The sequence below is a fragment of the Homo sapiens genome, chromosome 7 (assembly GCF_000001405.40).
Source record: "Homo sapiens chromosome 7, GRCh38.p14 Primary Assembly".
Taxonomy (NCBI): Eukaryota; Metazoa; Chordata; class Mammalia; order Primates; family Hominidae; genus Homo; species Homo sapiens.
Genome location: NC_000007.14, coordinates 11,169,637 through 11,185,656, shown reverse-complemented (window position 1 = coordinate 11,185,656; position 16,020 = coordinate 11,169,637). Strand labels below are relative to the sequence as shown.

General features: G+C 35.0%; 1 annotated feature.

Moving 5' to 3' along the window:
- Positions 1-544: an enhancer, noted in NCBI's record as "OCT4-NANOG-H3K27ac hESC enhancer chr7:11224740-11225283 (GRCh37/hg19 assembly coordinates)". NCBI's record gives its function as "activates a minimal SCP1, AML or CMV promoter by ChIP-STARR-seq in primed H9 embryonic stem cells {active_cell/tissue: H9 hESC(primed)}" and the evidence as "EXISTENCE:reporter gene assay evidence [ECO:0000049][PMID:30033119]".

Below are 16,020 nucleotides of genomic sequence, written 5' to 3'. Positions count from 1 at the left end.
CTATAATGTTTCTCTGAGAAACCTCAACACTGCCAGAAGAATTTACTGTTTCTTCCAGCTAGAACCTAGCCCCTGACCTCCCTTCTCTTAGAGCATTTACTTTAGAAAACTTGCAATTGTAAATTCTTTCTCAGCTCCTTTGAGATGTAAATCTTCTACAACCAGAAATGTCTTTCTCAAGGACCTAGGAGTCATCCCTTTGAAATGTAACCATCAAGACAGATAGGGTCCCTAGCTCCCAGTCTCTGTAGGAGGGTAGGAACCTAATTTAAATAGCAGCAGTTGGCAGACTGGATGGCTTAATCACATTGACAGACCTTGCCTCATAACGGCCTTCAGTATGTTTTCTTTAGCACATTCCAGAGTTAAAAAGGCCTCCTGCTTTCTGTCTTAGCATAGTGGAGTCTCTCTCCACTGCTGTACTAGCTTAAATAAAATCTATCTTGCCACCTTTGACAAATGTCTTCCTCTTTTTCTTTTTGACAGGGGCAACCTTAAGAGTTTCTCTGACTCACGTAGAGCTTTCGGTATCATTTTGCTCTCCATTCTGACACAAGTAGTGTAGCAAAACTAAAGCCTCAATGAGCATTTGTGGATTATGTGTTTATAAAGTGGTTTGGGATTTCTCTCTCATAATAGACATGCTCCTGAAAGTCATAGGTATTTTAAAATAAATTAATAAAGAGTAAAGCCCTAGGGGACTCTGCTATTGAAAAGAACTACAAGTGAAGAACTACAGGCAAGGAAGCATAGTCCAGGTTGTGAGTCTGGCCCTGTCGCATAGACTGGCCTAGGTGGTTAAGGTGGTAAACATGAATTCCTTTGGTGGTGAAATGAGGTTACCTTTAGGCACGTTAACAGAAAAAAAGTCTCAGCCTTACTGGAAGAGAGAAGTAGCTGGAGTTGAGTAACACACCATTACTCCCTACTAAAGCCCTTCAAAGGGAGAGAAAGAGGGAGGAAAGTATATTTGGGAGAATAGAGAAGAGAAGACATTGCAAGATAACCTCAGTTAAATGTAGGGTTGGAGCCATGTGTATTAATGAGGAAGTTTGAATTATCTAGAGGAAGAAGTTAAAGGCCAGAGTTCAAAGCTTCATTAGGTGAAGAGGGGTGTTTGAAGACATTGACTTTATGAGAGAATAGTCTCAAAGAAAGAAAGAAAGGCAAATGAATATAACAAAAGGATGCTACTAGTTCTAGAAAACATGAGGGAAAAAGAAAATTAGATTATTACCATGAAAGAGCAACTGACTGCCTCAGTCATAGAGAAAAGCACTCAGGGACATTAAAAAATGACTTTGAAAGCAAACGACCCAATAGAAAAAGGGACAGAATATTGGAACAAACATTTCGGCAGAGAATATATATAGATGGCAAATAGGCACATAAAAACTATTCAACATCATTAGTCATTAGGGAAATACAAATTAAAACCACAATGAAATACCACCACAGACTCATTTGAATGGACAAAAACAAGACAAAGGAAAGCAAATCAAAAACAAAAAACTGGCAATCCCAAGTGCTAGTGAGATGTAGAGATATGAAGCAACTGTAACAATTTTCATTGCTGGTGGGAATGTAAGCTGTTACAGAATCTTATGAATTTGAATGTATACTTCTTTCAAGAGAAATAAAAACTATGCCATTACAAAGATCCTTACACAAATATTTACAGCAATTTTATTCATAATCACTAAAAACCGGAAACCATTCAAATGTCTCTCAGCTGGTGAATGGGTAAACAGACTGTGGTACCTCCATACAAAGGAACATCACTCAGCAATAAAAAGGAATGAGCGTCTGATGTAACAACATGAATGATTTAGTTGAAGTGAAAGAAGCCCACTCAAAAGGCTACATATTGTATGATTTCATTTATACCCTATTTTGAAAAAGGCAATAGTATGAGACAGAAAATGGACTAGTGGTTGTCTGTGGTTGGGGCACAGAGGAGGCATTGACAGTTGACTACACAGGGACACAGGGGAATTTTTGAGTGTGATGGGATTCTTCTCTCTCTTAATTGTGGTAATGGTTACACAACTGTGCATTTTGTGAAAACACACAGAACTGCAATTAGAAGTGCAAATTTTATTATATGTAAATCATAACTTTTATAAATTAAGGAAAAAGGAATGAGGATTCTGGCTTGGGTGACAATTGGAGAGTGATATTGCTGAGGTGAATAGAAAAGCTTGGGGCCAGAAGCTGTGGCTCATGCCTCTAACCCTTGCATTTTGGGATGCCAAGCGGGGAGGATCACTTGAGGCCAGGAGTTTGAGACCAGCCCTGACAACATAGTGAGACCTCATCTCTACAAAAGAATACAACATCAGCCAGGTTCGGTGATGTGTGCCTGTAGTCCCAGCTACTCAGGAGGCTGAGGTGGGAGGATTGCTTGAGCACAGGAGTTTAAGGCTGTAGTGAGCTATGACCACACCACTGCACTCCAGCCTAGGCAACAAAGCAAGTTCCTATCTCAAATAATAATAATAGAGATAGGCTTGGCAGGGCAGCCAAAAAAAACAATGCAGATTCTGCCTTGGCAAATAGTTTGAGGCACCAGAAATACATAGGGTTAATATGGCCAAGGTAGTGGGAGCTTTTTATTGATGAGTTGCTTTCCATTATATGAATATACCAGAGTCTATTTGTCTAGTTGCCAGTTGAGCATTCGAGTTGTTTCCATGTTCTGGCTGCTATGCATAACATCTCTGTGAGCATTCCTGTGGCTCCTGAAAGATCTGAGCAGAAAGACCAGGGATCTATGATTCACACAATTGACAGACCAGATTGCCTAAAATGCAAGCCTGATCACCTTGTTCTCCAAATTAAAATTTGTCACTGGTTCTCCATTGTCTATAGCAGTGATTCTGCACCAAGACTGCACATTAGAATCACCTGGAGTACTTTTCAAGGTGCCAGATGCTCGGCCCACCTCCAATTGGTCAAGGGTCAGGTTTTTCTGTTTGTTCATTCGTTCGTTTGTTTTTGTAGCTCCTCATGTGATTTTATGATTTTAAAGCTTAAATCTTTTCTTTTTTAATTATTTTTCCGAGACAGAATCCTTTTCTGTCACCTAGGCTGGAGTGCAGTGGTGCAATCACAACTCACGGGAGCCTCGAACTCCTGAGCTCAAGGGATCGTCTTGTCTCAGCCTCTCAAGTAGGTGGAACAACAGGCATGCACCACCACGCCCAGCTAATTTTTTAAAAATTACTTTTTGTAGAGATGAGGTGTCGCTACATTGCCTAGGTTATAAATGTTTTTTTTCAAACAGAATTATTGAGATGTGATTCACATACCACATAATTCACCCATTTAAAGTATACAATTCAATGTTTTTTGGCATATTCCATTATTAATTTTTAAAATTGTAGTAAAATATATACAACATAAAACTTGCCATTTTAATCATTTTATGTGTACAGTTCTGTGGCATTAGTTACGTTTACAAAGTTATGTAGCCATCGTAGCTATTTCCTTAGCCCCATGTGATTTTAATATGTATCCAATTCTGCAGAACTAAATCCAAGTGCTTCAAGCAAACCCTCAAAGCCTTTCACAGGAAAGTCTCATCCTATATTCCCAGATTCTGCGCCTAGCACTTTCTGCCTGGCATTTTCTTGGATCCAGACACACAGAAGCATCTTTAACCTTTGAAAACCCTTTAACATCGCACGTTGCTATTTTGTCCCTTTGAAACAGTATTCCCACTATTTACATCTGATGAAATCCCTTGCCTTCAAAGGTAGACTCAAGTATCGTTTTTACGGAAAGTTTTCCCACCCCCAGGTTTATGTAGCTTCCTCACCTCTGCGTTCTAGGGCACCCTTTATCAAGCTCTGTCCAGCGCTTACTCATGACAACTTTCTGTGTCTGTATGTCGCTCCTACCAGACCGTGAGCTGTTTGTGGGCGGAGACAGTGCTCCACACAGTGTGTGTCTTATAATAGAGACTGTTTGACGAATGAGTTAAGAAACAATCATAAATATTAAAGCAGAAGAATGGTCACAATGGATGGTATAATTTGGGGAGCAGTAATAAAACTAAAGTAGTGATCCAGTCTCTGGAGAATGTGTCAGTGAAAGAAGAAGGGCAGTTGACAGACCCCAAATAGTCAGTACTCTTATTGAATATGCATGATGGAACAGGTCGTGCTAAGTGCTTTATATATATCATCTCTTCTAATCTTTATTAAAAATTATGTTTGAGGTTCTGAGCAAGCCTGGTTACTACGTCACTGCTTATTCTCCCTGGATTCTGAACCAGTTGAGAAGCATACAAAGAAGCCAAGTGGAAATTTAAAATATGACATCAGCCTATTTTTGGTAAAGCTGGATTGTACTTGAAAATAGGCTATATACAATTTTGCCACTAAATTGTACTGACTCACTCACCTGGTTTCTGATATGAGGCTATCACATGGCCGAGGAGTGAAGCAAGGGATGTGAAACATAAACAGTAATCCAAAAAGTCTCTCCTACAATGGAATGAAGCTAGGAATAGGCAAAGAGAAAGGTGGAAGTCCTTTCCTCAATTACTGCCCGAGAGGGTGAGAGTTTAAAAGAATTTAAAGAAGTTCCTGTTTCATGAACCAAGACAGAAAAACAGGGTAAAGAAGAAAAGCATGCTTTAAACAAATGGTGCTATGAATCTGAATATCTACATGCAAAAATGTTACCTTACAACATATATAAAATCAAGTAAAAATGAACCAAAGATTCAAACACAAAACCTGAAACTATAAAACTCCCAGAAGTAACATAGGAGAAAAACTTTATGCCATTGAATTTGGCTATGATTTTCTGGATATGACACCAAAAGCACAGGCAACAAAAGCAAAAAGAGATAAACGGGACTACATCAAACTTAGGAACTTCTGCACATCAAAGGAAACAATCAACAGAGTGAAAGGCAACCTACAGAATGGAAGATAATATATAATATGTTATATATATTATATAATATATAATACGTTATATATTATATAATATGTCATATATTATATAATATATAACATGTTATATATTATATAATATGTCATATATATTATATTATATATAATATGTTATATATTATATAATATATGTCATATTATATATAATATAATATATAATATAATATATTATATTATAATATATAATATAATATAATATAATATATTATATAATATAATATATAATATATTATATTATATATAATATAATATAATATATATAATATAATATATAATATAATATAATATAATATATTATAATATATATAATATAATATAATATATAACATATTATATTATAATATATAATATAATATATTATATAATATAATATATAATATAATATAATATAATATATTATATAATATAATATATAATATATTATATTATATATAATATAATATAATATATATAATATAATATATAATATATTATAATATATATAATATAATATATAATATATTATAATATATATAATATAATATATAATATATTATAATATATATAATATAATAATATATAATATATTATATATTATAATATGTATAATATAATATATAATATAATATACAATATATAATGATATATAAATATATATCATTATATATTATATATTATGTATAATACATTATATATTATATATTATGTATAATACATTATATATTATATATTATGTATATATACATTATATATATGTCATATATAATGTATTATACATACTATATATTATGTAATATATGTGTATATGCTTATATATTTATGTTTATATAATATATTATATAATACATAATATGACATATATAATATACATATATAACACATATAATATATAATAAATATTATATAACATGACAGTATATATGTTTTCAAACCACATATCTGACAACAGACTAATATCTTGAGTATATAAAGAACTCCTACAACTCAACAACAATAAAAAGCAATCTAATTAAAAGATGGGCCAAGGACTTGCATAGATATTCCTCAAAAGAAGAAATGGCCAAAAACATATGAAAATGTGCTCAGCATCCCTAATCATTGGGAAACGCAAATCGAAACCATGATGAGACATCATCTTACACCTGTTAGGATGGCCTCTACCCCCAAAAACAGAGAATAATAAGTGTTGACAAGGATGTGGAAAAATTGAAACCCTTATGCACTGTTGATGGGAATGTAAATGGTGCAGCTGCTATGAAAAACAGCATGGAGGTTCATCAGAAAATTAAAAATAAAATTACTATATAATCCAGCAATGTCACTTCTGGGTCTGTAGATGAAATAATTGAATCCACTCATATTCATTGCAGCATTATTCACAATTTGCAATAGCCAAAATGTAGAAGCAAACTAAATGTCCATTGACGAACGAATAAAAGAAAATAGTGTGTTTGTGTGAAAATGGAATATTTTTCAGCCTTAAAAAGAGAATATTATCATATGCCATAACATATCAACCTTGAAGACATTACACTAAGTGAAATAAGCCAGTCACAAAAGGCAAACATTGTGCGATTTCATTTATATGAGGTATTTAAAGTAGTCAAACTTTTTAGAAGCAGAAAGGAGAACGGTGGTAGCCAGGGACTGAGGGGCGAGAAGAAAGAAGACTTTTGTTCAGTGGCCACAGAGTTTCAGTTTTGCAGGATGAGAAGTTATAGAGATCTGTTGTATAATAATATGCATCTACTTAACATGACAGTACTGAACACTTAAAAATGGTAAAGATGGTAAATGTTATGTGTTTTTTACCACAATATAAGTAGAAAAGCATGAAACCTGGATATTATCTCTATTTCACAGCCTAGAAAACTAAGGCTTAGACAGGTTAAGTTACTTGCACAGGGTAACACAAGAAGTGTTGAAGCTGGGATTGGAAATCAGGCTGGTCTAATTCAAAACCTATGCCCTAGGCTGGGCGCAGCGACTCACACCTGTAATCCCGGCACTTTGGGAGGCCAAGGCAGGTGGATCACCTGAGGTCAGGAGTTCAAGACCAGCCTGGCCAACATGGTGAAACCCCGTCTGAACTGAAAATACAAAAATTAGTTGGGTGTGATGGCGGGTGCTTGTAATCCCAGCTACTCCAGAGGCTGAGGTGGGAGAATCGCTTGAACCCGGGAGGCAGGGCTTGCAGTGAGCCGAGATCGCGCCATTGCACTCCAGCCTGGGCAACAGAGTGAGACTCCGTCTCAAAAAATAAAAATAAAAATAAAATAAAATAAAAACCCAATGCTCTTAAGAGTCATGCCATATGTTACAGTGCTTCTGGGTAGAGGGGGAAATATGTTAAGACAGTTTTCAAATGACAAGAAAAGGAATTGAGATATATTCAATGCTCTGTGTTTAGTTAGCAGTGTTGCCTCTTATCGGGCACACATCCAAGACCACCTTACCTTTCTCAGCTTCCCTTATCCTTAGGTTGGAACCATGGCACTCAGTTCTTGCCACTAGATATGTGGATGGAAGTGATGCAGCAGAGTCTGAAGGAATGAAGTATGAGTTGATTCTTCATTCTCTCAATCTCACTCCAGCCCCCACCCTACTGCTCTCCACGAAGAACACTCAAATGGTGAAGTTGCAATATGAACACATGAATCCATGAGGCAGTTCTTCTCCAAGAAGAGCCACCTGATTCACATCAGGCAGTGGTGTGAGTGAGAAGTGAACTTTTGTTTGTTTAAGCCACCGAGATGTCAGGGATTGTTTTCATAGCATATCCTAGTCTAGCCTGACTAATATACTCATGAAGAATTTACTCACCATATTTTTCAACTATTTTCTTGTGTTATAACTGAAAGGAGGATGTGGAATCCGTGGGAAAGAGATTCTGGGTTTTGAGGGGAGAAGGAAAAAGAGGTTGATTTTAGAGGGGTCTAGGAAAGGTGCAGTTGTGAAGGAAAGGTCTTGAGCAGAAATTGTTCCCCAGGAAAGGTAGACTAGAACTAGGATGAGGGAATAAGAAACTCCCAAATGTGATGTGTCTAGGGACAATGAAGGAAATCTACTAAAACATTTTCTGTAAGACTGACTATTCCTGACTTCTAGAGTTAGATATAATCAAATACATAAATCCCAAATCAATACTTGCCAAAAATATATAGTCTCAAAAAAAGCATTCCCTAGGAGAAATAATCATAACCCCGAACAGATGTTCTATTTGTTAATTTGATTTTTACTAACAAGGTAACATTTTTGAAGGCATTGCTGAATGTGCTAGTTTTGTCTCTTGTTAGTATCATCAGTAAGATATCTCAGTTCCACAGTGCTCTGGAGGTTGAAATGTGTTCTCCTTTATGATTTGTAGCTCTGATTAGTTCTGTTTTTCTGCCTAAGGTGCAAAAAATGCAAATGTGAACTAAGAGTCTGTATAATTTCTGCTGCTTACATCATCACCATTAAAAAGATCAAAACAAAAATCTTCTTTTGAATCTCACTAAAAACATAGTCTGAAGTGCATTAGGCAGACTGTACTGTCATCCAATCTTCCATTATGTATTAATCTACTGACCATCTTACATTATTCAAAAACAAAATATGCATCTGCCATGGAAAAATATGTATATATTAAACATATTTAATTAAAAAAGAATTGTTGAGAGGAGAAAAACATGCATGTTAAAAAGCATGGCCATCTGGGATCTGCTTTAAGACAATTTGGTAGAAAGGGAAAGAAGGGACAGATAAGGCAAGCATGGCAAAAATCTTAATAGTTGTTCATCTGGGTCCTGAGTACATGGGGATTCACTGTACTCTTCTCTCAAGTCTTGTATATGTTTGAAATTGTTGATAATAATAAATGGTAAAGGAATTGTAAACTTACAGATAAAATACCTTCAAACATTTGCACAAATTTAAGGAAACAGCTTGCAGAAATAGGTTCCTTAATCACAATTTCATTGCCTAATGTCAGAAAATAATGAATTTTGAAAACAGTAGTTTTCTTTTCTTCAGAGTTTTTTCATGTTATTTCATCATGTAACATACAATGATGGATTCCTGCAGTGTTTATTATCTGTTTCTGATCATTAGGTACTACCTAATAAGCTGTCTTTCTCATTGCCTTAAAATCAGAATATCCTGAAAGAGCTCATCTATCTTTAAAAGAAATAATAATCTTGCATCACCTTTAGAATTAAACATAATATTAAAAATGATAACAGTTGGAACTGACATGCATCATGGAGATTCACATTTTCTGCTCCTTAAATGTCAGGGAAGGTTTTCATATTCAGACTTACACATGTAATATCTGATTCAATTATCTGTTGTTTCTAGAAGTCATTATCTATTGACTCTTTGCAGCTTGAAAGTCATGGATATGAAAATAGTAATTTTTTTTTACTCCATCGACGGTATCAATATAGGTAGAGTGTATCTCATTTTCTAGAGTGGGATATTTAGCATGCAATAGGTGCAAATGAAAGATGTAAACTACGAGACAAAAGTGAACCTTTCAAACGTTAAATGTGATGCTGGCTGTGTTATTATGAGCTTAATGATATCTAGTGCACACAAGAACACATAGGTGTCATGCTGGGAAACCAATGATCTAGCTCTCATCTTGACTGCAGGCAAAGAATATCTCATCAAAGCTATAAATTTCAGGAGTCTGTTCCCAAATTTAAAACCCTTAAGGAAAATGGCTTTCATGGTTCAAGAGTTTTAAAGGGTTATTCTTACTTGGCTTTGTAACAAGGAAATTAATAGTTTTTCTAAAACAAATCAGAATTATACCATAGCTGCATGCGTTTTCATGCTGTTGCTGTTAGCACTTAACTTCCTCTCTAGATAACAAAGCCTTGGACTTCACATTGAATTCACCATGGGAAGACATTTATTACCTGCTATAAATGCTCAGGATAGTCTTGGATGGGGGTGAAATTTGCTCATTCATGGCTATGTAAAAATTGTTTTCTTGAGGTAATGAGAAATGGAGTAGTTTTCTAATCAACTTTCACTATTCAAAGTGAATCTTGTTGAGCCTAATGTCAGAAGTACGTTGTTTCAGTCCCAAGCAGTGTTAGCACACAACCAGTAGAAATATGTGCAGGCCTCAAGGACTCCAGGCACTGGGGAAATGCCGAAGCAATGAAATGAACTTACTTCTTCTTTCTCAACGGGCTTCAAAATAAATCTGATGTAGCCATGTGAAAGAAGCAGTTGTAGGAAAGATTCCCCTTTTTTGTTTGGTATACATTCAATTTAAAGAGGAATAGTTTATTGCATCTGGGAAAAACTAGACAAATTTATAATGAATGTAGGAGAGTACAGACATATCAAATGCCTCCAACTGTTTAAGCTTAGAGGAAAATCATTAGTGTAAGGAATAATTACAGTCATGCAATAACTTGGATGAATCTCAAAACTTTATGCTGAGTGAAGAAAGCCAGACACAAAAGGTATGTATAACATAATTTCATTTGTATAAAATCTTAAGAACATTTTACAGAAAGAATATACATATATAAAGTGAGCAATAAGAATATCATTATCCCCTTTCAAAAAATATTAGAGGAACAAAACTACTCAGACTCACCTCATTCTATCTGGATGATTAGAAAGTCACAAATGAAAAATGACTATATCCTGAGAAGAGTATGTCCTATTTGGTATGGTATGTATAAAAATGAAACCTAAAGCAGTTCATAGACTCAAAATTGTTCATAGACTTAAAATTGGAGCAACTGGGCACACACCTCTGCTTTTCCCCTCATTCAAGCTTTCTAATCCCCAGGAAAGTAGATGCAATTTATCAGAAGATATAGCTATAATTTTATAATTTTAAAATTGAGTTTAAATGTATTTCTAACTGCAAGGGTCATTCAAAGACCATTAAAACAATGTGAAATCATTTAAAGACTTTAACTACATTAAATGTTTTCAAATAAGATATACACTATTTTTATTTTTTGCCTCTAGATATGAACTGACTAGTTTTTGAATGTTGGATTTGTAAAAAATTTTGTATATTGTTTAGTTTTTTTAGGTCTTTCATTAACATGTTTTATAGACAGTGATTCTAACATTTACACTGGTGCTATAAATATTACACATCAAATATCCCCCCTAAAATATCAAGGGTCAAACCCTAATTTTGTGAACTACACCACACAGCTTAGTGTGACAAATGGTTTCTGAAAAGAATAACCAGTATGAAGTGGGACTTTTACTTGAAAAGAAAAAGAAATTAGCTCCAGTTTTGGGCTACTATAAATAAAGCTGTTAAAAATATTCATGTGGCTCACGCCTGTAATCCCAGCACTTTGGGAGGCCGAGGCGGGTGGAACATGAGGTCAGGAGATCGAGACCATCCTGGCTAACAAGGTGAAACCCCGTCTCTACTAAAAAAATATAAAAAATTAGCCGGGCGCGGTGGCGGGCGCCTGTAGTCCCAGCTACTCGGGAGGCTGAGGCAGGAGAATGGTGTGAACCCAGGAAGCGGAGCTTGCAGTGAGCCGAGATTGCGCCACTGCAGTCCGCAGTCCGGCCTGGGCGACAGAGCGAGACTCCGTCTCAAAAAAAAAAAAATAATAAAAAGTTATTCATGTACAAGGCTGAGTACAGTGGCTCACGCCTGTACTCTCAGCATTTTGGGAGGCCAAGGTAGGAGGATCAGGAGTTGAAATCCAGCCTGGGCAACATAGCAAGATCTTAAAAAAAATTCATGTACAAATCTTTGTGAGGGCACATGCTTTCATTTCTTTTTGTAATATCTATTAGTGGAATTACTGGGTCGTATATTAAGGGTATGTTTAACTTCATAAGAAATTTCCAAACTCTTTGCCAAAATAATGTATCATTTTACACTTCTACCAACAATGTATGACGAGTTCCAGTTGCTTCATAACCTTACCAACATTTCATTATCGGCCTTCAAATTATAGCCCAGGAGGCCCGTCCAGTGGGAAAACAATGGAAACTATAATATATAAATTCAAATTTTCTAGTAGCCACAATTTAAAAAGAATAGTTGAAATTTATTTTAAAATTTTAATCAAATCTATTCAAAATATTATCATTTCAACATGTAATCAGAGTAAAAATTATGGATTTTTTTTTGCACTCTAGCTCCAAAATCTGATTTATATGTTTACAACACATCTCAATTGGGACTAGTCATATTTCAAGTATTCAATAGCTACACATTTTTAATAGCTGCTGTTTATATAGCTGATAACAGAGCTATAGACATTTCAGCGGGTATACAGTGGTAACTCATTGTGGTTTTAATTTGCATTTTCCTGATAACTAATGATGTTGAGTATATTTTCATGTGTTTTTTGGCCATCTGTATATATTCCATTGTAGTAGTATTCACACAGTATAATTGTAGTATATTCACACAATGAAAAGTACTCAGCAATAAGAAGAAATGAAGTCATGCAATAACTTGGATGAATGTCAAAACTTTATGCTGAGTGAAGAAAGCCACACACAAAAGATGTGTGTGATATAATTCCATTTGTATAAAGTCTTAGAAAAGGGAAAACAAATAAAGAAAGTAGATCGGTGGCTATAGTGGGGGTGTGTAAATGATTGCAAAACTGAAGGACAGAAGCTTTTCGGGTGATGGAAATGCTTTATATCTTGGAGAGGTGGTTACATGAATATATGTATTTGTTGAAACTTACTGAATTGCACATACAACATGAGTGAATTTTATGTAAAATATACTCCAATAAAATTGACTTAAAGAGTATAAACATTAGTGGTATCTACTACGTAATCTGTGAGGTCAGTGAAAAATAAAACCATGGGGTCTCTTTTTCAAAAGCTAAGAATTTCAAGACCGTAACAGCACAGTAAGCTTGTCTGTCATTGAATCCCCAGTGATAAGCAGAACAGTATATCTTATAGTAGGTCCTACTAAAGCTTTGTTGAATGATTTAAAAAACTTGAGCATCTTAGTGCCCAGCAATTTCCATTCAAGAGTAGCATAATATCCCTTCCCGCTTCTGCTATTTGTTCCCTAGACTGGAGGAAAGAGTATGATACTGGATACAATTTAAAAAACCATGCTTTTCCTAAATATGATAGAAACAAATACTCATTTAAAGTTCTTTTATTTTTAAATTCTTGGAAGGTATGAAGAAATACAACTCAAATAACTAGCATGAAGAGAAGATAGTTCGGTTCAGTAAGTAAAAATTATACAGGTATCATAAAATTCTTGTTCTTAGGGTATTCTACAGTGCAAGTTACAGGCTGACTTACAGTCACAGTGTTACACCTAGTATAGGCCAAAAAATGAGCTAGGTAATAGGGATAAAGAGGTAAACAAAACAGCTCCTTTTTTTTTTAGTGGTTTGTCTTCTTTAGAAATCGACTTATAGATAGATATCCCAGTTATCAACGTTTATAAGGACTCTCCCTAAATACATCTAATCTATATTGCCATAGACATTTCATTGGGATTTTGCTCCAGTGCTCCTTAACATAGCTCAGAATTATTATAACAGAGGTACTTGGACTTTATTTAAATGTATTATGAACTGAATGTGTCCCTCCTCCCCCACCCCATCGAAATTCCTGTGTTGAAGCCCTAACTCCCAGGGTAGCTGTATTTGCAGTAAGGATGGAATTAAGGTTAAGAGATCATAATCCTGATCTGATAGGATTAATGTCCCTACAGGAAGATGCCAGAGGCTCACTCACTTCCTCCCTCTCTCTGTGCGTGCACAAAGGAAAGGCCGTGTAGGATGCAGGCCATCTGCAAGCCAGAAGACAGTCCTCAACAGAAACTGAACCCTGCTGGATTTTGATCTGGAACTTCCACCTTCCAGAACTGTGAGAAAAAAATTTTCTGTTGTTTAAGCCACCCACTCAGATATTTTGTTATGGCAGCCTGAGCCGATTAATATGTAAAACATTCTATATAAAATATGAAACATTTGACTCAAATAAAGCGACTGGCTTAATCACAGTCACATAATCTTGTAGCATTCTAAGACTTATATGTGTATATACACAACATAATGGTATGAGCCCTAAAAATCTGAGTGATTCATACAGAAATTTTTCCTAAAGGAAATGTAAATTGATTTTACTTTATTACTGACCATCCTAAACCAAGGGGTATATATTTTCGAAAAACTTTCTGAAAAGGAAAACTGGGTTTTAAATGATCAAAGATACCATTTAAATTTAATATTTAAAATGCCTGCAAGGTGGCTAAGTGTCACTGTGACTCACACTAACAGTTTCATTTCATAAATGCAAGTGTGAAATGATGAGATAACAGCATACTAATAACTGAACAATCTGCTGAAAAATATGGCCAAAAATTTCTTGAAAAATCTTAGAGAAGAAATAGGTGCTTCCATCCTTGTTCCATGATAACTTGGTGTTAAAAAAAAAAACATAAAGCAGGATTAGCATGTTACGGAGCACACAGAATAGTGGTTACAATGCTTTCACTTATTTTACTTAAATCAAAGTCTTCAAAATAAACTAAAGCGCAACTAAGAGATTGGAGAAGAGAAATAACTAAAGAGGAAGCAGGTGATGAATGAAGTGCTAATAAGACTGTACATTTTTAGGAAAGACAGTGGAACAAATGACATATGGTATTAGTATTACACAATGATTAAGTGTCATATTCTGTGGTAACACTCTTGAGTCTGAACTCTTACTCTGCCAATTACAAGTTACATAACCTTTGTTAATCTATTTCCCCTGTCTAAGCCTTGGATTGATCTTTGGTAAAATGGTAAAAGCAACAGTACCTAACCTGTAAGTTGATAATTAAGTGGCATGACACGTTAAACATTTAGCATAGTACCTGTAACATGTTAGCTTTTATGTGAATCATGTATTATTTCTTCTTTTTAAAAGTAAAACTACTGATATGACCCAAATCTATGTGAATGTGGGTATTTTGAAATAAATTGATGTGGGAAAAGTGTCAAATTAATTTTTATATTTGCCTATTGCAAAGGCTCCCTGCAGACTCTGAACTGCCATCTCAACCTTTTCTTTGGCTTAAAGTCTTTGCTCCAAAATTCATCCAGGGAATTCATTAGTCCAGGGATCCCATCTGTGGGCTCTAGTTGTTTTCCTGACATGCGTACTGAGATTATTTGAGACTATCCTTTTGATTTTTCTGTCTTAACTACTTGCAGTTTCCTCCATCTCAGCCCAATGTATCATAGCTGCCAGCGTATCCTGCTGTCACACATTTATTGGGCTTGTTGAATGCATATAATATGGCTTCAAGGCAAATACACTGATTCCACTCTCACATTCTCTTGCAAGCCTCCCAAAGCTCTGCCTCTCATTTTAAGAAACTCTGCCTTAAATAATCAAACAAAGACATCTGCCAAAAACACTTGGCTCTGCAAATAGCAAGCAGATTCATTGCTCTTCCTGTCATTGGCAAATGGCAGCTTGGAAATTAGAACCGGGGAGAGTAAAGAGGCTGGTTACTGAGAACTCTGATAAAGACAGGGGACAGGTGAATTTTGAAAAATTTCTAAGCCAAAGAAATACATAAAAGAACTATTCTTGAAATGTCCAGGAATAGTGTGTGGGACCTTGCACACAGCAGGTCCTTAGTAAATGTTTTATAAATTATAAATCATGGCATTACTTCTGCCAGAGACCGTCAAATTATCATTTCTTTTTAGTCTTTCCCTGCAGTCCTAGAGTATCGTGTAATATATAAATAGATGAAATCAGGAAACAGTATTTCTCCTTGTGGCATTGACTGGTTTTAACCATTTTCATGTGCAAGCATTCCCTGTTCATTTTTGAACTATGTTGGTTTTTCTTTATATTGATAATCAAAATTATGTTAAGGCCCTTAAAGAAGAACACAGAGTCTAGTAAGAAGAAAAAAGACTTTCAGAGGTTTTTTTTTTAGGTCATTTAAATGTGTTAACAGTTAGGTTACAAAAAAAATAACATTCTGTCTCTGTTCTCAAATTTGAGTTAAGAATTTTTCTCCTTTTAAAAACTTTTAAAGGTCCAGCTTTTGAATAAAAAAGTCGAAATTACTCTAAAATATACGAAT